The 24,527-nt window shown below is 43.9% G+C and overlaps 1 long non-coding RNA gene across 1 annotated transcript, besides 2 other annotated features; it reads left to right on the top strand.

Moving 5' to 3' along the window:
* Positions 4,365-4,939: an enhancer, noted in NCBI's record as "NANOG hESC enhancer chr2:105813700-105814274 (GRCh37/hg19 assembly coordinates)". NCBI's record gives its function as "activates a minimal SCP1, AML or CMV promoter by ChIP-STARR-seq in naive H9 embryonic stem cells {active_cell/tissue: H9 hESC(naive)}" and the evidence as "EXISTENCE:reporter gene assay evidence [ECO:0000049][PMID:30033119]".
* On the top strand, positions 5,425-7,964 carry LOC105373528 (uncharacterized). The gene is made up of 2 exons (XR_001739624.1): positions 5,425-5,953; positions 7,538-7,964. It is a non-coding gene; the product is annotated as an uncharacterized LOC105373528 (long non-coding RNA).
* Positions 23,733-24,232: an enhancer, noted in NCBI's record as "OCT4-NANOG-H3K4me1 hESC enhancer chr2:105794407-105794906 (GRCh37/hg19 assembly coordinates)". NCBI's record gives its function as "activates a minimal SCP1, AML or CMV promoter by ChIP-STARR-seq in primed H9 embryonic stem cells {active_cell/tissue: H9 hESC(primed)}" and the evidence as "EXISTENCE:reporter gene assay evidence [ECO:0000049][PMID:30033119]".

The following is a 24,527-nucleotide window of genomic DNA, read 5'->3' as shown; positions in this document are numbered from 1 at the left end:
ATTATGGCTTAGTGCAGGCTTGAACTCCTGTGCTCAAGCAATCCTCCCACCTCGGCCTCCCTAGTAGCCAGGAATACAGGCAGACATCACCATGTCTGGCTAATTTTTAATTTTTTTTTTGTAGAGATGGAGTCTTACTATGTTGTGCAGGCTGGCCTGTGTTTGTTTGGACCATCTCTCTGCTGTCATTGTCCATGGCAAATCTGTTTAAATGTAGGAATATGGTCTCAAGGGGGCTGGAGATGGTGAACTGGGCTCAAACCATTTTAGACTGTTGCAAATGACTCTAGAAGCAAAAAATTTAGTTGAGTATGCATCTGGAGGGCTGACTATATGCTGGTCATTCTCTCGAGGTACCATTTTATTAAGAGAAAGTAACACAAATGTGCTAATTTGAAGCTTTCACATGTGTTATTTAAACCCAATAACAACTGCAACAATGTTTAGAACTAGACCAATTAAGGATTTTTTTTTACTTACATTGTTCAGAATTGCCACTGCATGGTGAGGATAATAAGAAGGCTCATTTTTAGTCAGTTAATTGTTATTTTTAAATTCTGTCCAGACAACATACCCCCTTATTGCCTACTCCTGGGAAAGACCCCCTCCTGGCCCACCTTCGACATTGCCAAACCCAGTGGTCACTTCTCAGCCCTCATCCTAGCTGACCTGGCCACAGCATTGAACACAATTCCTTCTTCTTAAAACATTTTCTTCACGCGGCCTCTGGTCCCCCAGTGCCTCTGGATTTTCCTTCCGTTTCTCGAGCTGCTCCTTCTCAGTCTCTGTATTGGATCCTCCTCATTTTCACAGCCTCTAAATACTGAAATCACAAGGCTCAGTCCTCAGATGTCTCACTCTGCAGGTGATCTCCTAAAGTCCCAAGGCTTACTAACTGGTAATTCTCTGGAGACGATAATCTCCAGACACTTAAGGGCATCTGTGTGCTGAACACTTGAAAATTTGTATCTCCCAGTTGAGACTTCCTCTCTGAACTCAAATATTTTTATTTTTAAGAGATGGGAATCTCACTCTGTCACCAAGACTAGAGTGCAGTGGTGTGATCACAGCTCAATGCAGCCTCTAACTCCTGAGCTCAAGCAGTCCTCCCACCTATGCCTCCTGAGTAGCTGCGACTACAGGCGTGTGCCACCAAGCCTGGCTAATTTTTAAAATTTTTTATTTGTAGAGATGGAGTCTCACTTTGCTGCCCAAACTAGTCTCAAATTACTGGCCCCAAGTGATCCTCCCACCTTGGCCTCCCAAAGCACTGGGATTACAGGTGCGAGCCATTGTGGTGGCTGCGGATACTTATATTTAACAAATATGTTCTCAACACCTCCACCAGGATGTCTTGCTGGTGCCTCAAATTCACTCCTTGCCCCATCCAAATCCAGCTCTGCATCCAGTCCTTTCTCTGGGCAGATGGCAACTTTAGTTTTCTTGTGGCTTAAATCAAATCTTAGAATTAGTCCTTTGCTCCTCTTTCTTTTATACCCCACATCTAACCCATTAGCAAATCCTGTTCACTTCACCTTCAAAATATATCCAGAACCACCTGACTCTTACCCCTGCACTCTTGTTCAAGCCACCATCATACCTGCTTGGACTATTGCAGTAGCCTCCTATCTCTATTCCTGCTCCTCTACATGAGAGCAAGGGTGGCCATTTCAAAATGTAAGGGAGATCACTTATTCCTTTGCTCAAAACCCTCTTTCCGTCTCACTCAGAACAAATTCCAATACCTTCACCAAAGCTTTTAAGGTCCATTAATAATAATCCAGCACTATCCAAATCTCCAGCCACTATGTACTTTTACCCACTATCATTCTCTAGCCTGCTCACTCTCTGCAGCAACACTGCTTCCTTAATGCTTCTCAAAACTCTCAGTTACATTATTGTCTCAGGGCCTTTACACCAGCTTTCCCTCTTTCCTGGAACACTGTTTCCCCTGATACCTACAAAGTTCACTCCATCATTTTTTTACTTAACAATCATGTGATCAGAAAGGTCCATCTTTTTTAACATTTTTTATTTTTGTGGGTACATAGTAGGCATATATATTTATGGGTTGCATGAGATGTTTTGATACAGACATGCAACCCATAATAATAACATCATTGAAAATGGGGTATCCATCACCTCAAGCATTTATCCTTTGTGTTAGTGTTACGAACAATCCAATTATACTCTTTTATTTTAGAATGTACAATTAAATTATTATTGACTATAGTCACTGTACTAGTCCATGTTCATGTTGCTGGAAAAGACATACCGAGACTGGGCAATTTACATAAGAAAGAAGTTTATTGGATTTACAGTTACACATGGCTGGGGAGGTCTCACAATCATGGTGGAAGTTGAAAGGCACATCTCACATGGTGGCAGACAGGAGAAGAGAGCTTGTGCAGGGAAACTCCCCTTTTTAAGACCATCAGATCTCATGAGACTTATTCACCATCATGAGAACAGCATGAGAAAGACTTGCCCCCATGATTCAATTACCTCCCACTGGGACTCTCCCACAACATGTGGGAATTCAAGATGAGAGTGGGTGGGGACACAGCCAACCATATCAGTCACCCTGTTGTGCTATCAAATACTAGGGCTTATTCATTCTTTTCATTTTTATATTTTTTATACCCATTAACCATCCCTATCTCCCCACTACCCTTACCAGCCTCTGATAACCATATTCTTACTCTCTAACTCCATGAGTTCAATTGCTTTGATTTTTAGCTCCCACAGATAAGTGAGCACATGTGATGTTTGTCTTTCTGTGCCTGGCTTATTACACTTAACATAATGACCTTCAGTTCCATCCATGCTTTTGCAAATGATTCAGTCTCATTCTTTCTTATGGCTGAATAGTACTCCATTGTGTATATGTACCATATTTTCTTTATCCATTCATCTGTTGATGGACACTTAAGGTTGCTTCCAAATCTTGACTATTGTGAACAGTGTTGCAACAAACATGAGAGTGCGGATGTCTCTTTGATACACTGATTTCCTTTCTTTTGGGTATATATCCAGCAGTGGGATCACTGCATTGTATGGTAACTCTATTTTTAGTTTTTTGAGGAACCTCGAAACTGTTCTCTATAGTGGTTGTACTAATTTACATTCCCATGAACAACGTAGGAGGGTTCCCTTTTCTTCACATCCTCGCCAGCCTTTGTTATTGCTTGTCTTTTGGATAAAAGCCATTTTAACTGGGGTGAAATGATATCTCATTGTAATTTTGATTTGCATTTCTCTGATGATCAGTGATGTTGAGCACCTTTTTGTATACCTGTGTGCCATTTGCATGTCTTCTTTTGAGAATTGTTTATTAAAATATTTTGTCATTTTTTAAAATTGGATTATTAGTTTTTTCTAATAGTGCTGTTTGAGTTCCTTACATATTCTGGTTATGAATCTCTTGTCAGATGGGTAGTTTGCAAATATTTTCTCCCATTCTGTGAGTTGTCTCTTCACTTCGTTGATTGTTTCTTTGCTGTGGAAAACCTTTTGAAATTGATGTGATCCCATTTGTTCATTTTTGATTTGGTTGCCTGTGGAGTACCGCTTGTGGGCTAGTGCTCAAGAAATGTTTGCCCAGATCAGTGCCTGGAGAGCTTCCCCAGTGGTTTCTCATAGTAGTTTCATAGTTTGAGGTCTTAGATTTAAGTCTTCAATCAATTTTGGTTTGACTTTTTGATATGGCAAGAGACAGGGATCTAGTTTCATTCTGCACATGGATGTCCAGTTTTCCCAGCATCATTTATTGAAGAGACTGTCCTTTCCCCAATGTCTGTTCTTGGCACCTTTGTTGAAAATGAGTCCGCTGCAGGTGTGTGGATTTGTTTCTGGTTTCTCTATTCTGTTTTATTGTTTCATATGTCTGTTTTTTGTGCCAGTACCATGCTGCTTTGGTTACTATAGCTCTGTAGTATAAGGTCAGATAATGTGATTCCTCCAGTTTTGCTCTTTTTGCTTAAGATAGCTTTGGCTATTCTGCATCTTTTGTGGTTCCATAGAAACTTTAGGATGGTTTTTTCTATTTATGTGAAGAATGCCATTGGTATTTTGATAGGGATTGCATTGAATCTATAGATTACTTTGGGAAGTATGGACATTTTAACAATATTGATTCTTCCAATCCATGAATATGGAATATCTTTGCATTTTTTTGTGTCTTCTTCTATTTCTTTCATCAATGTATTATAGTTTTCTTTGTAGAGGTCTTTCACTTCCTTGGGTAAGCTTATTCCTTGGTATTTCATTTTATTTGTGGCTATTAAAAATGGTTTACTTTGTATTTCTTTTTCAGATCATTCACTGTTGGCATATAGAAATTCTAGTGATTTTTGTACGCTGGTTTTGTATCCTGCAACTTTACTAAATTTATCAATTCTAATAGTTTTTGGTGGTGGTTTTAGGTTTTCCTAAATATAAAATCGTATCATCTGAAAACAAGGATTATTTGACTTCTTCCAGAAAGGACCTTCTTGACCAGCATCTGCCCCATCACTCTCTATCTCCTTATCTAGCTTTATTTTTCTTCTTAGCCCATGCCACTATGTGATGTCTTAAATATCCATTATTATGCTGCTCACTTTAATTATGGAAAGTGGCCTAGCATTAGCTTGATTGCTTGGCTAAAGACCTCCTGCAAGGCTTAGGTCCAAGGGCATTCCAAGGTGTCAGCAGACACTGCCAATTGGTCATAGCCCTGGGTGTGGTCTCCAAAGTGTTTGTGATTCACAGGCAGGACGGAATCCCAGTGCAGTAAGCCATCTCTGTAGGGGGTAGTTTAGGAGGCCAGGAGCTATCATCTTCCCTCATCCCAACCCATCTTAGCCTCTGGATCAACCCATCAGGCAAATTTCAAACTACAGCATCAGCACTGAGCATGGGAACAAGATGCATACATTGGATTAGTTTCTTTCTCTTTTTTTTTTTTTTGACAGAGCCTTGCTCTGTCACCCAGGCTGGAGTGCAGTGGTGCGATCTCGGCTCATTGCAAGCTCCGCCTCCTGAGTTCACGCCATTCTCCTGCCTCAGCCTCCCAAGTAGCTGGGACTACAGGCATGTGCCACCATGCCTGGCTAGTTTTTTGTATTTTCAGTAGAGATGGGGTTTCACCGTGTTAGCCAGGATGGTTTTGATCTCCTGACCTTGTGATCCACCTGCCTAGGCCTCCCAAAGTGCTGGGATTATAGGCATGAGCCACCGCGCCAGGCCACATTGGACTAGTTTTAAACTAGGGATGGCACAAGAAATGCCATCTCACATGCCAACGCTCTCCATCATGCCTGTGAATCACAAACACTTTGGAGACCACACCCAGGGCTAGCAGGAGCTAGCGGCTGATGGAGGGCCTGTTTGTCTGGGAGACTGTGTGGGTGGGTTGGTTGGGGTGGGAGAGGCTGTGGCAGGGGCATGGTGATACCTTCTTAAGGACACAGGAGGCTGGGGGAGGCCAGATGGAGGGTGGCTGCTATGGAAACAGGGTGAAGTTTCAGATTTGACCTTTTAATAATGTTTAGTTGGTATCAGTAATGGCATCTTCTGTCTCTTTTGTAAATAGGCAAATGCCAGGCAGGACTATGTAAAGAAAGAATCACACGCTAAAACAAATTCAGATAGACTTAAATCATCGTCTGTGACTTCTATGATCTGAAAATTTGGACCCTGTCCCTCCCACCCAATAATGCATATGTTGAAATCCTAACCCCAAGGCGATGGTATTAGGAGGTGGGATTTTAGGGAGGTGATTAGGTCACTAAAGCAGAGCCCTCATGAATGTGATTAGTGCCCTTATGAGACAAGACCCCAGAGAGCTTGTTCACGCTTCCCATCATGTGAGTACACAGCAAGATGGTGCTGTCTATGAACCAGGCAGAGGGCTGTCATCGAGAACCAAGTTTACTATGCCTTGATCTTGGGACTTCGAGCCTCCAGAATGGTGAGAGATATATTTCTGTTATTTATAAGCCACCCAGTCTATACTATTCTATTATAGCAGCCAGAATAGACTAACACGATGCCTATATATGTGTATTTTTTAAAAATGTGTATTTCATCTTTGAATTTAAATACAGAAAACACTCCTTGGAGATAGATTTCTAATTTAAGATTGCTTTGAAAGACATGCAGGTTTAGTGGATGACTAGTCTCACCACACATACTCAGACTGCAAGGCAGACATTCTCCAGTGCCATCACGGCCGGAAGACAGTCTCTCATTTCACCTGAGCTGTCCTCACAACTTGGTAGTGCTTCCCAACATAGGCAGTCACCAGATTACAGACAAAATCATGAACTTCAGGAAAGACAGTGCCTGGGGCAATTTGGATACTCCAGTAGCCGCTGCGCATGGAGACAGAGGAGTGGTTAGGTGGGAAGGATGTTTTGCAAAATATTTTTCAAGTGCTAGTGGACTTGGGTCCCAACTCTTCCCTCTAGGTTCACCCCCTTTGGGTAGATTTCCCTTACCATCCCAGTTCTTGACACCAGCCTCCTTCTCTAAAATCCTAGGTCTTCTCTGTCTACCCACTCATTTGGCACTTTGTCTATATCACTTCAGTGATGGCCAGTGATACACATTTCCCATGGCAATTGTCCTTCGCTGCATGGGTGTAGAGTCAAGTCTCTCAAACTTTCCTCAGGACCACCTGGGGTCGAGTTACAATGGAGAATCTAATTCAGTAGGTCTGGGTGAGGCCAAGCCTCAGGTGAAGGCTGTGCTGCAAGGCGGGATCCATGCTCTGAATAATGAGGCATAATAAGATTGTGGCATGCAAACAGACATAACTAGGCTCAAATTCTGCTTTGCTCTTAACTAACTTTAACTCTGCAGCTTTAAGATCTTTAAGCCTCAGTTTTCTCTTTTCTTTCTTTCTTTCTTTTCTTTTCTTTTTTTTCTTTTTGCCCTGTCACTCAGGCTGGAGTGCAGTGGCGCAAACATGGCTCACTGCAGCCTCAATCTCCTGGGCCGAGGCAATCCTGCCTCCTCAGCCTGCTGAGTAGCTGGGACTACAGGTGTGTGACACCACATCAGACTGTTTGTTTGTATGTTTGGTAGAGACGGGGTCTCATTTAGTGGCCAAAGCTGGTCTTGACCTCCTGGGCTCAAGTGATCCTCCCACCTCATCCTCCCAAAGTGCTGGGATTACAGATGTGAGCCACCATGCCCAGCTAAGCCTCAGTTTTCTTAACTTCAAATGGGCATAAATACATTGTAAGCTGGTGGATAAAGGATACTATCCGCACCCACAGAACTTCTAGTTTATGAATTCTTCACAACTTTCTTAATTTTCTTTTTTCAAGCTCACACTGGAGGCCAATATGTCATCTCCTGACTGCTCCCAGGGTTTGCTGGGCTGCTTGGGTGACACGATGGATGTGCATGTTTAGCCCACAGCCTGGCGTGTAGTACATGGCTGCGGTTGTGGTGATTATTTTTATTATTTTTGTTCAAAACCTCCCCAAACCCATATGATTAACATAAAATAACTACTTCCATATTCTACATCACTATTAATTTCCAGAGAAAAACACTGAAGAACTGTGTGGGCTGCCTTTGAGGATGAAGCAGATGTCTGCCAAGATCTGTTTCCATTCTGAGGAGCACAAGCTAAACATCAGCCTCTTCACTCCTCATTTACACCCTTACCCTGAGTCGATCCATCAAGACCCTCCACTGAGAGGGACAAATTATAATGATCTTTGTATGAGGCAGTTTGAACTTGCCTTCCTGTTGCTTGTAAACTAAGTCGCAACCCAAGCTACTGAGAAATCTCTGCACGTCGGATATTTTTCTCCTAATTGATAAGAAAGTGCTCAAAAATAGAACTGTCATCTGACAAATCCTGGAACTAATTGCCTTACACGTAGCAGGCTGCTAAATGTGACCAGCATTCTCCCCTCCATTCGGTGGTTCCCAAGGAAACGAGGTTAATGCATTCATGACTAACGTTTGCCTTGTCAATCCTAGTTCACTGCGGTAGGCATAGAGCATGAGGGGAAAGTGCCGAGAACGTCGTTTCATGCTTTTTTTCCTCTTCTGCTCGAAGTACAAACGTCTCAACCAAAGGTTAAACACATGCTCAGCCAACCATCAAAAATCAATCAGCATCTGCACTTGTCCCCTGCTTCTAAAGGTTTGCCTGAGGATCCTACTGGTACCAGAACGTTGAGGCATTCAAACTCCTCAACCACAAAGTTTTAACAGGAGTTAACTCTTTAGCAATGACTGGTTAGAGTTTTCTTTGCATGTATTTTCACAATTTATTAATTTTCTTCCCCAGATACGTGTCACCTTATTTTAAAAAGAAACCTATAAAATATTTCTAACCATAGAAAATTGCAGAGATTTTTTTTCCACATTAAAATTTAAAAAACATTTTTTTTTTTTTGAGACAGAGTCTCGCTCTGTTGTCCAGGCTGGAGTGCAGTGGTGCGATCTCGGCTCACTGCAAGCTCCACCTCCCGGGTTCATGCCATTCTCCTGCCTCAGCCTCCCGAGTAGCTGGGACTACAGGCGCCCACCACCACGCCCAGCAATTTTCTGTATTTTTAGTAGAGACGGGGTTTCACCGTGTTAGCCAGGATGGTCTTGATCTCCTGACCTCGTGATCCACCCACCTCAGCCTCCCAAAGTGCTGGGATTACAGGCATGAGCCACTGCGCCTGGCCTAAAAAGCTTTTTTATATATTTAAGGAGTACAAGTGCAGGTTTCTTACATGCATATATTCATCATGGTGAAGTCTGGGGTTTTAGTGAACCCATCGCCCAAATAGTGAACACTGTACCCAGTAGGTAATCTTTCAACCCTCCTCCCTCCCTCCTGCCTTTAGTGGGCTCTAATGTCTATTATTACATTCTCTGTGTGTGTATACACACACACACTTACACACACACTCATATATATCCATGTGTGTCCATTGTTTAGCTCCCACTTGTAATTGAGAATATGCAGTATTTGACCTTCTGTTTCTGAGTTATTTCACTCAGGATAATGGCATCTTGTTCCTTCCATGTTGCTGCAAAAGACATGATTTCATTCTTTTTTATGGCTACGTAGTATTTCATGGTATACATTTACACCACATTTTCTTTATCCAATCCACCACTGATGGACACTTAGGTTGATTCCATATCTTTGTTACTGTGAATAGTGCTGTGATAAACATACAAGTGCATGTAGCTTTTTGATATAATGATTTCTTTCCCTTTGGGTGTATACCCAGTAGTGGGATTGCTGGGACAAATGGTAGTTCTACTTTTAGTTCTTTGAGAAATCTCCATACTGTTTTCCATAAGGGTTGTATTAATTTACATTCCCACCAACAGTGTATAAGTGTTCCCTTTTCTCCATATCCTCACCAACATCTGTTTTTTTTTTTTTTTTTTTAATTTTGAGATGGAGTCTTGCTCTGTTGTCCAGGCTGGAGTGCAGTGGCACAATTTTGGCTCACTGCAATCTCCACCTCCCAGGTTCAAGTGATTCTGCTGCCTCAGCTTCCTGAGTACCTAGGATTACAGGCATCTGCCACCACACCCAGCTAATTTTTGTATTTTTAGTAGAGACTGGGTTTCACCATGTTGGCCAGACTGGTCTTGAACTCCTGACCTCAGTTGATCTGCCCACCTTGGCCTCCCAAAGTGCTAGGATTACAGGCGTGAGCCATTGTGCCCAGCCCAATATCTGTTGTTTTTAGACTTTTCAACAATAGCCATTCTGACTGATATAAGACTGTGTCTCATTGTGGTTTTAATTTTCATTTATTAGATGACAAAATCAAAGAGATTATTAAAATGAATATTTATGTATGTGTCATGTTTCACACTTATAATCAGAAATGACAATAGTAATAACAACAACAAAATCCCTATTTCATCATCTTTTTCTCCAATTCACTCCTTTCTGACTTCCAACTTTTGAGTATGATGGCAACACAGTACTCAAGAAAATCAGCATGAACCCCCTAGAGTTGTGATTGAAGGTTACCTATTCTCTAACCCACAAACCCAATTGATGGCACCTCCAAGTTTCTTTAAAAATTTTTTATTTTTCTGGTTCCCATTTCCACTTTATTTTAAAAGCCTCAGTTACCATCCTTTACCCATTCTAGTCCTTTGTAAGTTAGCAGTTTTCATCATTTGAAGACATCATTCCCCTGTCTCCTTGCTTCACTGTAGGTTGAGAAATCAGCTGTCAGTCTTGTAATTCCTTTGTGTTTAATCTGGCTGGGTTTATTTTTCTCCTCTCTGGATGACTTTAAAAATTTTATTTTTGGTGTTCTATAATTTCTCTATGTTATGCTCAGTTGCAGATGTCTTTTTTATTTTTAATCTTTGTTTTATTTTTTCTATTTTAATTAATCAATGAAGTAGGGACAGGCTCTGTTACCCAGCCTGGTCCTGAACACCTGTGCTCAAGTAATCCTCCCACCTCAGCCTCCTAAAATGCTGAGATCACAAGTGGGAGTCACCACATCTGGCCCTATTTTTACTTTCGAGTGCCATTAAAGAAATACTTTTTTTTCTGTATCATTGTGGATGCTACTACTGTTATCTTAGTAATACAAAACTACCACATTCTCCTCTCTATTTAAAAAGTATTTGGCAAAGCTCTGGAGAATTTTTATAGGCACATTCTTCTGTGTGGGCTGGATCAGCAATATTTCAATAAAATCTATTTCCAGGAAGAATAGACTGTGTACTTTATCAGCCACAGTGAATCCTATAGGAGAGATCTTGTCTAGCAGAAGCTGGTACTTGCATCCCAGATTCTTCCATAATTAGAGAAAAAGAAAGTTTGGAAAAAAGGAATATTTACTGGTTAATTATAAAGAATATTTCAAAGGATACAGATGAACAGCCAGATGGAAGAGATGTGTAGGATGAGGTGTGGGAGAGAGGATATGGAGTTTCTATGCCCTCTCAGGGCACACTACCCTCCAGGAACCTCCATGTGTTCAATTCTCTAGAAGCTCCAGATTTTTAAAAAATATTCTACATGACATTAGTTAGGCTATCTAAAGCTGAGGAAGCTAAAGTTTTCCCTTCATTTCTAGAAATTCTTAACCATTATGTCATCCAATTTTGCTTCTTTCATTCTTCCTTTTTCTCCTTTTGTCACACTATTTAGGCATTTGAGGGAAGTTCTCACTTTATTCTCTGTATCTTCAAACCTCTCTTATTTTCCATTTCATCATCTTTTGGTTGTGCATTCTGGGTGATTTCTTTAGGGTTTTCTTCCAGTTTACAAAGTTTTTCTTTGCTGAATCAATTCTGCTATTTAATCTGTTTAGGGAGTTTCCATTTCCACCTTTTTTATTTGCATGTTCATGGCACAGAGCTTTAAAACTCTTGAAATTTATGATAGAGACGTCTTTCTCCTGCTAATGAGACAACTCATGGTGGGACTCTAGATAGCTTCGGGATGGGGCTGATCACCAGAAAAACCAACCACATGATTAGAAGGTTGGAACTTTCAGCCACCCGACCTCCAGGGAGGGGATAGGGGCTAGATATTGAGTCCATTATGGGATCAATGATTCAATCAATAATGTACATAATGAACCCCAATAAAAACTCTGGACACTGAAGCTCAGGACCAGCTTCCTGGTCAGTGAACAGATCAATGTCCTAGGAGAGTGCTATGCCCTGATTCCATGAGCAGAGGGCATGGAAACTCTGTGCTCCTTAGAGCTCACTCTATGTCTTTCATTTGGTTGTTTCTCCTCATTGTATCCTTTATACTAAAAGTGTAATTGGACCAGGCACAGTGGCTCAGGCCTATAATCCCAGTGCTTTAGTAGGCCGAGGTGGAAGTATTACTTGAGCCCAGGAGTTTGAGACCAGCCTGGACAAAATGAAGAAACCCTGTTTCTACAAGCAAGCAAACAACAACAACAACAAAAAAGAAAGAAAAACAAACAAAATACAAAAATTATCCAGGTATGGTGGTGTGTGCCTGTAGTCCTACGTACTTGGGAGGCTGAGATGGGAGAATTGCTTGATCCCAGGAGGTCAAGACTGCAGTGAGCCATGATCATGTCACCGCACTCCAGCCTGGGTAAGAGGGAGACCCTGTCTCAAAAAGAAAAGAAAAGAAAAGAAAAAACACAAAACTGTCATTGTAAGTATAGTGCTTTCCTGAGTTCTGCAAGTTATTCTAGTAAATGATTGAACCTGGGTTGCAGAGGAATTGTGGGAACCCTTGGATTTGAATTATGAAAAGTGTCATAACTGTGAGTAGCCTGATGACTCCTGAAGTGCAGCTGGCATCTGAAGTAAGGGAGGTCTTGTTTGGAGACCACGCTCTTGGTCTTGTGGAGACTATGCTGACTCTGGATGGTTAGTACCAGAAGTGCATTGCTGTACATCCAGTTGGGGTTGAGACAGAAAAGAATCCCAACCTTTCTATTTACTATATGTGAGACTTTGGGCAAATCACAAAAACCTCTCTGCAACTCAATTTCCTTGTCTTAGAAATGACAATATTAGCAGCATGTACCACATTAAATGCATGAAAAATAAATGAGATAACTCAGTGTCTGGCATATAGCAACTGCTCAACAATGGTGGTGAGTGCTATAGTTTTTGCTCAAATATCACCATATCCAAAGAGCCTACTCTGCCATTCACAAGAAAATAGTACTCCTTTTCTCTTGCAATGAGTACTTTCTGTTCCTTACTTTGCTTTATTTTTCCTTTAGCCAGTACTATCACCTCCATTACTCAGCTCTTCCTATGATAATGCTTCATAACAAATCACTCCTAAAGCTCAGTTGCTTGCAGTAGCAAGCCTTTATTCTCAGGCTCATGGACCTATAGGCCTACTGGATTGGCTGATTCAGGCTGGGTTCAGCTGAGTGGTTCTTCCTCCTTCTTCAGGTCTGCTGGGCTTGTCTCCAGGCTGCATGTTGGGTCCAAGTTGGCTCCATAAGTATCTCATTATTCTGGGACCAGAGACCACCCAGGGCATGTTCTCATGGCAATATGTATTTGCAGAAGTAAAAAAGCAGGCCAAACCCTACAAGCACATTTCAAGCCTCTGCTCACATTATGCTCGCAAATATCCCACAGGCCATAGAGAGTCACACAGCCAAGTCCAAAGACAAGGGGCAGGAAAACATACTCTGTCTCCTGGGGGAGAAACTCCACTGTTACATGGTAAAGTGTGATGCATAACTCTAATATGAGCAGGGTGTAAAGAGTTGGGGAACCAACTCACCATACCACTTGACAGATTACATTTTCATTTGTTTCTAGCTAGAGTACATTTCCTGCCATGTAATATAAACTCTACAAGAAGAGGAACATTAGTTAGTTTGTACACAGTTCTATCCTCAGCACCTAAAATAGTAGCCCTTCAGCAGATATCTGCTGACTGAATGAATGAACAACTGAGTCAAGTGAGAATAGTAGTAATAGTCATGCCCCTCACCATTCTATGAAATAGCTTCTAATAAGCTGTGAAATGGCCAAGAAGAAGCAGAGGCGAGTAGATGGGGCTCCCTTGATGTTGAAAGAAAGGGCACTGCAGCAGCAGCTGTGGGCTGATTGCCTGCTTATATCAGAAACCCACAGTGGTATGGTGGAGTCACAGGTTCTGAGCCAGGCCACCGTTCATCCATGTGGTTAGCTTTATATTCATCTTCAAAGCAAGATTCTATAGCAGGAGCTACACTGAAAGTACCAAAAGTGGATGATGAAACATTTCAGTATCTCAATTCCCCTGGTTTTCAACCATTCATTGTAAGAAAAGGCTCTAGTACCAAGCTGACTTTGTTAAAGTAACGCTCACAAGCTGGCTGACGACAAAATCAACCAGCTTCAATTCTGTATGTAGGATTCTTCTACACCTGGAGCTGGAAACACTGAGCAAAGCCAACTTTTTAATATTTCTTTGGCTTTCCTCAAGGAATGACACCATGAATGGAGAGAATCCTAAAAATACAAATTCTCTGCAATTTAGCAAATAGAGGAACAATGAAAAGTCTAATAATAAACTTGAGACAGACTAAATACTACATAATGAGCACACTTGAACCAAAGGCAGAAGAAAAACATGTAATTAAATATGAATACTTTAGGAAGAAATCAAAATGGTCTAATAATAGCTAAATCAACCAGAATGAGAAAGCTTATAAAAAGCAACCTCTGACTGATTTCCTCAATAAGAAGATGACACGGGTCCAAATAGAAAAGGCTGGAGGGAAAGGGAGAAATACATTGGGACAGAAAAGGGAAGATTATATCGTATCTGAAGAGAAAATAGCTGCTTCTCCAGGAAGACCCAGGAGGCTAAGTTCTCTTACGGTTGGTAAAAACAAATAAATCAAAATGTGTGAAATGTCATTTACATGCATTCATTAAATCCTTACTATGGACAAGTCCAAGGTTAGGAGGTCTTCTGAGGAGGGAATGTGACTCAAGTGTAAGGAATTTGGTCTCCACGCTGCTACACTTAGAACCCTCAGGGGATGACATTTATCAGTGCAAAAAAACTCCAAACCAGAGATGTCTTCTAGTTTTTTGTATCACAGGAGATTCAGTGTTGTATGTGCTTTTGCCGAGTCAGGAGTTCACCCCAAAGTCCGACTGAAGGGCAATAAAAGGTGTTCCCGGTGGGAAACTGCTGCCCCCGGCTTCATTTCAGCCTGCAGTTTCTTCACAAGCCCTTTCTTCAAATTCAGTGGTAGACTCCAGTTAGGTACAGATCTGCCTTGATTTCAGTTACACTAATTGTATTCTGATTTAAATACGCACAAATGTGCATGTCGGTGTTGACAAAGAGTCTCTGCTTGACCAAACTTTAGTCAGGCTTTTCAATCTTCTGCTAAGCCCATCTGTACACTTCCTTGTAAAATCCAGTCCTAGCAAAGAATCCTGCTAAGTCAGTTTGGCAAGAACCTCCTATCCTTAACATCTAATCATCCTCTATACTTGATCAGGATCCTCAGCCTCCACCATCCCCAGGGGATATCCGGTCACCCTGGCCTGTTTTCAGGCCTGTTAGGTTTGTTTTGCCAGAATCCCCCATACGCTTGATGTTTCCTCTCAGTAATTTCCATCCATTAACCCTGACCCTGCTCCCATTTGCCCCTGCTGGATTCGGAGTTGAGCCCAATCTCTCCCCCACTGCAAAACGCCATTGTAATTGTCCCTACACCTATCAAGATGGTCCTGAATAAAGTAAGCTCTATTGTGCTTTATCGAGTGTCATTGAATATTTTTTTCTTAACACTGTAAGCTCTTTATTTGTGTGGCTCCTATACTGCCAGAAAATTCAACAAAAATATAAATTCAATATAGATCCAATGATTTAAAAAAAAAATCAAATGAACAGCAAGCAATAAACATTCTGCACATAACACTGTCCAGCACAGAGCAGGTGCACATGCATGTCTGTGGAATGAATCTCCACAGACTGAAGAGTGATTTTTTTTTCTTTTTTTCTTTTTCTTTTCTTTTCTGTTTTTTTTTTTTTTTTTGAGATGGAGTCTCGCTCTGTTGCCCAGGCTGGAGTGCAGTGGTGTGATCTCAGCTCACTGCAACCTCTGCCTCCCGGGTTCAAGTGATTCTCCTGCCTCAGCCTCTGGAGTAGTTGGGATTACAGGTGCATGCCACCACGCCCAGCTAAGTTTTGTATTTTTAGTAGAGACTGGGTTTCACCCTGTTTGCCAGGATGGTCTCCATCTCTTGACCTCGTGATCCACCCGCCTCAGCCTCCCAAAGTGCTGGGATTACAGGCATGAGCCACCACGCCCAGCCCTGAAGAGTGATTTTAGCATGACTGATGTTTTCTAACTGACTTTGTAAAGGCTAAGATGAGACGTGGGGAAGACTGTAGCCAGAGCCATTGGTAGAGCAGTTTTGATCCCTGAGAAGTGACAGCAGAAACTTTACTTGGGAAGGAAGGGGCAGCTCAGCTAGAGGAGCTATCTCCCCCTGGCCTGTCAGCCCCCAAAGGCTGGGTCCTTTTCCTGTTTCGTTAGCTGTGTCCCTTGAGCACCTGGGATTGTCTGATTGTCTTTGGCACACAGTGGGAGCTGCACATGTACCTGTTGGATGTTCTCCCACGTCGTCTGCTGTGGGCTCCAGCCCTCCTTCCTGACCTGCACAAAGGAGGGCCTCCCAAGATGCTGCACCCACTTCCCCAAAGCCTGGCTGCAGCCTCACCTGGTTTAACCTAGGTGCCTGCTGTGAAGTACACAGACTGGTAAATAGCAGCAAGCTGAGCATTTATTTCAGGCTGGAAAAAAGCCCAGCACTGACTGAGGCCAGGAGGTCCTGGCCATATGAGAGTGCTCAGATGCTATCAAGCCCCCAGCTGGAAGGAGGGACATCCTGTCCACCAGAGCTCAGGCACCCAAGGAAGTGAACACTTTGAACCCTGAGGTTATTTCAAGAAGCCATTCACGGGTGCAGAAATTCTGCTTCTAACTCCTCTGGCCTTCTTGTCTTTCTTTCTACAGAGAGAACGGAATAATTGTTGGGAGAGAGAGAGCAGTGGCGGCCCTCAGTAGCAAGGCCGTGAGAGCTGGGGTCACTGTGAAGGCCCAGGGCACCAAGAGCTGCTCCTGAAACCCCGTCTTGCAGGGGTGTGCCCACCCCTGGGCCTTAGGCAGGGTTCAGGAAGTGTTCTCAGGGAGGGTTTGCTCTCTAGGGCAGGTAGAAGGTTCCCGTGGCAGGCAAAGCCCCATATCCCCTCACTGGAGGCCTCTACAGCAACCGTTCCCCCACTGCCCCACGTGGCTAATGCATTAGGATTTATTAGCCTCTTTTATCTCTCGATAACATGTATAAAAAGTGATCAAGCCATACTACACTCTCCCCATTCAAACCTTCCCATGGCTTCCCATCGCATTCAGAATATGAACCCAGAACCCAATCCCTTACTCTCCCGCCAGGCTCCAACCTCTCCCATTTCACTGCAGCCGTGTGGGCCCCCTATGGTTCCTGGAAGAGCCAGGAGCATTTCCACCCAGGGCCTTTGCACTATGCTTCCTCCAGATGAGGTCATGGCTCACTCCTCTACCTCATTCATGGCTGTGCCCTAGTGCCCCCCAGTTCCTGGCTTACATAGCACCCCCAGGCTCTCTCTGTCCTTCTATCTCACTTTATTCTTCAAAGCACATTCCTCTACTTCACACTGAATGGTACATTTGCCTGTTCTTTGACTTATTCTGTCTCTCCATAAGCACTACAAGGGGAGAGGCTTGGTCTTTTATTTTCCCCCATCCTGGCCCTAGTGCCTAGTTCTCAGTGGGTAAATAATAAATATTTATTCCCAGACTACATGAACATAGGTTCCCAGAGGAAAACACAGTGAATCTACCCGACGCACCTGCAGAATCTGTCCACTCGGCTAAAGGAATACATATATTCACCTTCAGTGCCGTTATTATGAAGTTGAAGTTAGTTAAGTATTAACAGTGGTAACAATGGTTGCCCTTTGCTGAGGCCTTAGCACATTCCAGGTACCGTGAACGGCATTTGCTTTGAGTTTGCTTCTCACAATCCCCTTACAAAGGAATATGCTGTTTCTGTGGCGGAAGGTGACACTGTATCCTGGTGATGCCTAATGACCTGCCATGACAGGCAAGGCAGGATTCAGGACCGTCAGCTGGAGAGCGAGCAGGTGAGCCAGGAGTGAGCCACCAGTCTGTGGCTGCAAGGGCTATCCAGGAACCTATAAATCTGGGCTTGGCAGAGAGATTCCCGACTTTTGGCTTTTCTCCAGTTTCTATGCAGGAAAAATAAAAGTATAATTACTCGCTTCTGCCTCTCTCTGCCCCAGAGGAGGGGTGGCTGGCTTTCTAGTAGTCCTCCGGACTCCGGCAGTGACTGTTATTAACCTAAGTATGGCAGCGTTTTAACTCGGGGATTCTCAGTCTGGACTGTGCCATAGAATCACCTGGGGATGCTCAGGTCCCACCCCTGACATTCTCTTTGCAGTGACTTGTGGTGGATGGAGCCCAGCCACCTGCATTTTCTTAAAAGAAGAATGATTGATTTCAATGTGCAGGCGAGTCTGGAGGAGGCTGTGGAGGCCGGGCCCAGGCTGAGGGAAGTGGGGAGTTTCACTTTCTACCTAAAGATAGGGGCAGAATTCAGATCTTTCCTTTCGCCTCTGGCTTCAATAGGGTGAGGTACTGTCAATGATGCTGTCTTTTAAAAAAACATTTTGATATTTTGTTCATCATGAATTTTTTGGCACTAATTTTGGTTTTTAAAAATATTTTGCATTAAAATATTACTTATCTTGATTATTGAGTGTTTTGGTACCCCCTCGTTTTGCACCCGAAGCAAGTAGCACGCTGACCTCTCTCTAGTCCCAGATCTGGGAGGCACTAGACTATCTTGAGACTGAGAACCATCTTTGTTTTCAGGATCTGAGATGTGGGTGTGGCCGTGTGGGGTAAGGAGTGGAAAAAGAGGCTTGGCAGAGAGGAAATGAAAATTTTTCTATCTCCAGGTCTAGGCAGACAAGGGTCATGATTGCAGCTGAAATGGCATCTAACTCCATCAGCAGAGCCTCCCTCCAGGTTCTTCACTCCCTTGGGCTCAACCCAGGGCTCATTCAGACTTTGGCTGTAAATCCCATCTTAGTGCGGATGGTACCTTCAGCCCACATCATTCCCTGAAACCCCTGACTCCTCTACCCACCTTCCTGCTTGACAGCCTCACTTGGGTATCTAAGCACATTTCAAACTTGTTCAAAGCAGGCCTCATGGTTCCAAATCCCTCCTTGCCAAGAGCAAAACAATAGTAACAAGGAACCCAGGTGTTCCTAGACTTCCCATCTCAGTATCAATGGCACTGCTGTCTACAGCTCCCACGCATACCCTATCTGTAGGCAATCTCACCAGCCCTTTGAGAGGCTGAGGTGGGCGGATCACTTGAGCCCAGGAGTTCAACACCAGCAACATGCCAAGAGTTCGTCTCTACAAAAAAAATGCAAAAAATTAGCCAGGTGTGGTGGCATGTGCCTGTGGTCCCAGCTATTCAGGAGGCTGAGATGGGGGATCAGTTGAGCCTAGGAGGTCAAAGCTACAGTAAGCCATGGTCATAACACTGCACTCCGCCCTGGGGAACAGAGGGAGACCCTTTCTCAAAAAAAAGGGGGGAGCAAAAGACCTGAATAGATATTTCTCAAAAGAAGACATAAAATGGCAAACAGGCATATAAAAAGTGCTCAACATCACCGATTATTAGAGAAACGCAAACAAAACTACAATGAGATATCATCTCACCCCAGTTAAAATGGCCTTTAGGTAATAACAAATGCTGGTGAAGATGTGGAGAAAAGGGAACTCTCATACACTGTTGGTGGGAATGTAAATTAGTACAACCACTATAGAGAACAATTTGGAGGTTCCTCAAAAAACTAAAAATAGAGCTACCATATGATCCAACAATCCCACTGCTGGATATATACCCACAAGAAAGGAAATCAGTGCATCAAAGAGAGATCTGCACTCCCATGTTTTATTGCAGCACTGTTCACAATAGCCAAGATTTGGAAGCAACCTAAACGTCCATCAACAGATGAATGGATAAAGGTAGTACATATACACAATGGAGTGCTACTCAGCCAGAAAAAAGAAGAGATCGAGTCATTTGCACCACATGGATGGAATGGAGGCCATTATGTTAAGTGAAATAAGCCAGGCACAGAAAGGCTAACGTCGCATGTTCTCACTTATTATGTAAGAGCTAAAAATTAAAACAATCGAACTCATAGAGATAGAGAGTAGAAGGACGGTTATCAGAGGCTGGGAAGGGTAGTGGGAGGTAGCGAGGAGGTGTGAATGGTTAATGGATACAAAAATATAGTTAGAAAAATGAATAAGACCTAGTATTTGATAGCATGACAGGGTAACTATAGTCAATGATAATTTAGTTGTACATTCTAAAATAATTAAAAGAGTATAAATTTGATTGTTTGTAAGACAAAGGTTAAGTACATAAGTGGATGGATACCCCATTCACTCTGATGTGATTATTACACATTGCATACCTGTATCAAAACATCTCATGCAGCTCATAAATATATACACCTACTATATACCCACAAAAATAAATATTTAAAACAGAATAGCTTCTCTAATCTTTACAAGGCAGATGGCATTAGCCCATTCTACAGACTCTCAGAGAGGTTTGCTGGCGACCTGCCAATGGTCCCAGAGAGGGGAAGCAGCAGGACAGGATGTAGCTGAGGTCTCACTGGCCCTAAGGCGTATGCTCTTTCAGTGACATTAAACTGTATCTCAAGACAGAAAATGTTTCCGTTATTTTAATAATCGCATGCCCAATGTTTCAATGACAGTATCCGCATTGCTCACAGTAGCCCTGTGTAGAAGGCATTGCTACCTCCATTTCACAGATAAGGAAACTGAGGCTCCCAAAATCACACAGCTAATACATGTCAGAGCCAGGGTTATTGGTCTCCAAATCCCATGCTTGGTCCACACGGCAGGCAGGCTGTGGCAGAGCCCTCTGCCTTAATTCTATCTTTTTAAAAACACCATCTCCACCTCTGCCATTCATTCGTATCTTTCCTCTCCAGTAGACTGTCATGCAGCGTTCCACCCCTCCTCTTCCTCCCCTGGACGTCTCATCCCACATGCCTGGGTTCTGGAGTCAACACTGGGCTAGTGATGGGGAAATTGTTTTCACCAGGAAATCAGGATGAGCAGCTGAAGTCTTCGAGGAAACGCAGTGAAAACAGGAAGCAGCTTCTGTCAGAGGCCAGCTCCTGGCCGAGGAGCCAGGGTGGATGCTTTTCTGTGGGGGTGACCACAGTGCAGAATCCCTGGGGTTTCTATGGAGACACCTCTGTGGATTTCTCTGTCTCACTCACCTGTGGCAGAGCTCAGGACACCAGCTTTGAAGTAGGCAGAGGCTCCTCATAAAGGGAGGGGAGTTGGTGGCCCCATCTTCCCTCTGAGTCATGACAAAACCTACCCTGGGCTCTGTCAAAACAGGATTCCTAACAAGGTGCCCCTTGCTAGGAGAGGGAGTAAAATAGAGGCAAGCCCTACATTTTGCCAGTGGAATTTTCCAGAAGTGGCATTGTAAAGCAGATTATCCTGAAGCTCATTTTCTTTTCCATGGCAATAACACTATTAATGTCGTGATTCTGACCTGAGAACCTCAGAGAAGCCGTGGATATGGCTGGCTTGGCCAACAGGCTGCCTGCTCAACAGGAGTCTCTCTTCCTGCTGCCAACAGAGCTCAGCTTTGGTCCGGACACACCCGGACATCCAGGCAGGTGGGCAGGCCCCAGTTCTGGCCATTGTGATGTAAGGGGAGCCAGCCGGGGTGCTCTTCGGAAGGATTTTTGCTCCTGTATGAAGCACAATAGTGTAGGAGGGGGCCCAGCCATTTGGCACCTAGGAAGCCACACAAGGCTGAAAACCAGCGGCAGCTGCACTGCGGAGCCGGCAGCCCTGAATCGAGAGCCTTTGCTTCCCTTTGTTGACCAGGCATCTTTATTGCTAAAGCCACCATTCACTCAGTTTTCTCTTCCTTGAAGCCCAACTTAACAGGCAGGCCAACACCCAGCTGTAAAAGCAGACAGCCCTTTCTCTGGCCTCGGTGAGTGCTGCTCTAGTTAGTGATGCCACGGATGAAAGGATCCTGAAGGGGCCTCTGCGCTGTCCAGCCCAACACCCTCCTTCAACATGGAAGGAAGCTGAGTTCAGGGAGGCAGAATGCCTTGCCCAGCAGAAGAACCAGGAATAAGAACTACACTTCCAAGATTTGGAGAGCTGGGAGGACCTACACCCAATCCTGCAGCCGGCCGCATTGGTCTTGTGCTTTAGCCAACCCCACCAGAGCCCGTAGGGACAAGGCAGCCTCTAGGGGCCCCTCCTCTGGCTGCCTCATGCCTGCCTGCCATCCGGCCCCTCCAGTCCTGGAGGGACTGTAATGAGTTAACTGTCTCCAGGGTGGTGGGAACCACTTGGGTTACTGCATATATTTCGGAAGATGCAAATTCAAAGCTCAGGAGAAAAGGACTAATTTTTCCTATGGCAGAATTTCAGAACGCTTGTTTAGAATCCCTCCCCCACACTCCTAAAGCACACTTCGTCGGGCCCTGCTATTCTGTCCCCCATACATCAAGGGGTGGCTTCTCAAGCTAGGACGTTTTCTGCTTGGACTTAGAGAAGATGGGACCCATTTCATGCTTTTCCAGCACAGACTTGCAGCTGTTTCACCACTTGGAGGAGCTCAAGAGACTCAGCAACCTGGGTTCTCTTCCCACTTTGGTCACTCAAAGCGGAAGCAATGCTCCAAACTGCTGGCCATCAGCCCAGTTGTTCTCATGAGTCATCTCATTTACTTCCACAATAGTACCTTAGCGTATAAAGGGTTAATCTTATTAAAAAGACAACAACTAAAAAACAACAACCGAGTAAACAAACCTCTGACAGAAGAATCAACTCCCCCAAATCCACATGCACTGGCTAAAACGGGGGTTTCCACAACATCCCTGGGTCACTGACTTCTCTTGTCTGGGTCCAGGCAATGATTACTTCTATTGGACTGTAACACCTTCCACCGAGAGGGAAACCACAATGATAAGCCCAGTACTGTTGACAGTCTTTTATTTTTATTATGTACAAAATAATAATTCCATGTGTGACTAGAATCTCTAAAACTCTCGAGAAGGATGAGAAGCAATGCATGAGAGGAAAAGCATACACCAAATCTCCAACTTAAAACAGAGTGCTCCCTGGCCAGGCTCGGTGGCTCACACCTGTCATCCCAGCACTTTGGGAGGTTGAGGTGGGTGGATCACCTGAGGTCAGGAGTTCGAGACCAGCCTGGCCAACATGGTGAAACCCCGTCTCTACTAAAAATACAAAAATTATCCAGGCATGATGGTGCGTGCCTGTAATCCCAGCTACTCAGTAGGCTGAGGCAGGAGAATCGCTAGAACCCGGGAGGTGGTGGTTGCAGTTAGCTGAGATGGTGCCATTGCACTCCAGCCTGGGTGTTGCAGTGAGACTCTCTCAAAAAAAAAAAAAAAAAAAAAAAGAGTGCTCGCGGATGCTGTGTTCATTTCCCAGGGCCTCTGTAACACGTCCCACAAACTGGATGTCTTAAAACAACGGGAATGGAGTCTCTGACAGTTCTGGAGGCTAAAAGTTTGAAATCAAGGTGTGAGCAGGGTTGGTTCCTTCTAGAGGCAATGAGAGAAAATCTGTTCTAGGCCCCTCTCTCAGCCTCTGCAATTGGACCAATCCCGTGCTGGAAAAGCATGAAATGGGTCCCAACTTCTCTAAGTCCTAGCAGAAGACATCCTAGCTTGAGAAGCCACCCCTTGATGTGTGGGGGACAGTCCCAGTTGCTGCAATTCTTGGGGTTCCTTGACTTGTAGATGCATCAGCACAACCTCTGCTTCCATCCTCATGTGGCCTCCTCTCTTTCTGTCTGTGGGTCTCTCTGCCCATCAGTCATTGATTATGTCCACCCTAATCCCACGTAACCCCATCTTAACTTCATTACATCAGTAAAGATCTTATTTCCCAATAAGTTCACATTCACAGGTACTGGACGTTAGGACTTTGACATATCTTTTTGGGGCCCCCAATTCAACCAACAACATATGGGGCTGTGTTTTTACATATATGTGTCTATATGTATAGACATATATATGTGATACATACTTATAATCACCTTTTTAGATAAATGCTAGAATATGTATAGGTGAAACGATATAATGAAACATATGAGATTTGCTCCAAAATAATATAAAGTAGAGCCACTGTGTGAGTTTAGATGTAACAAGATTGGCCTTTAGCTGATAACTGTTGAAGCTGCCGGGTGGGCCCATGGGTACGTGGGGTTCATCAGATGTGTTTTGGTTACCTGTGGTTGTGCAACGTATCACATTTAAGATGTTGAGGCTTAAATCTACTGCTGTCATCTTATTATTCTCTCTCAAGCTCCTAGGGATTTAACAAACACTGCTAGGTGGTTCTTGCTTTGATGTTTTTGTTATGGACTAAATGTTTGTGTCCCCCCACCCAAATTCTTATGTTAAAACACCACTCCCCAGTGCGATGGGATTAGGGGTGGGCCTTTGGCGGGCGATAAGGATGAGAGTCCGGAGAGAGCTTGCTGCCTGCCGCTGGCTGATACCTGAGGACCCAAGGAGGAGTCAGCAGCCTGCAGCCGGGCAGAGGCCCTCACCAGACCCCGGCCATGCTGGCATTCTGACCTCCTACTGCCCAGCCTTCAGATCTGTGAGACATAAGTTTCTGTTGTTTACAAGCTGCCCAGTCTGCGGTGATTTGTTTTAGCAGCCTGAAGGGACTAAGACCATCTCTCGTGTAGTTACAGTCGGCTGCGCTGGAATCAGCTCAGGGCTCACTCAGGCACATGTCTGGCACCTGGGCTGGGGAGACTCCCACATCAAAGGCTCCCTGGGCTCCTGTGTGTGTGATTCTCCAGTGTGACAGCTCTTTCAGACTCCTCACATGGTGGCCCTAGGCTCCCAAGGTGTA

This window comes from Homo sapiens, chromosome 2 (genome assembly GCF_000001405.40).
Source record: "Homo sapiens chromosome 2, GRCh38.p14 Primary Assembly".
Taxonomy (NCBI): Eukaryota; Metazoa; Chordata; class Mammalia; order Primates; family Hominidae; genus Homo; species Homo sapiens.
This window is presented reverse-complemented; position numbering and strand designations above follow the sequence as displayed.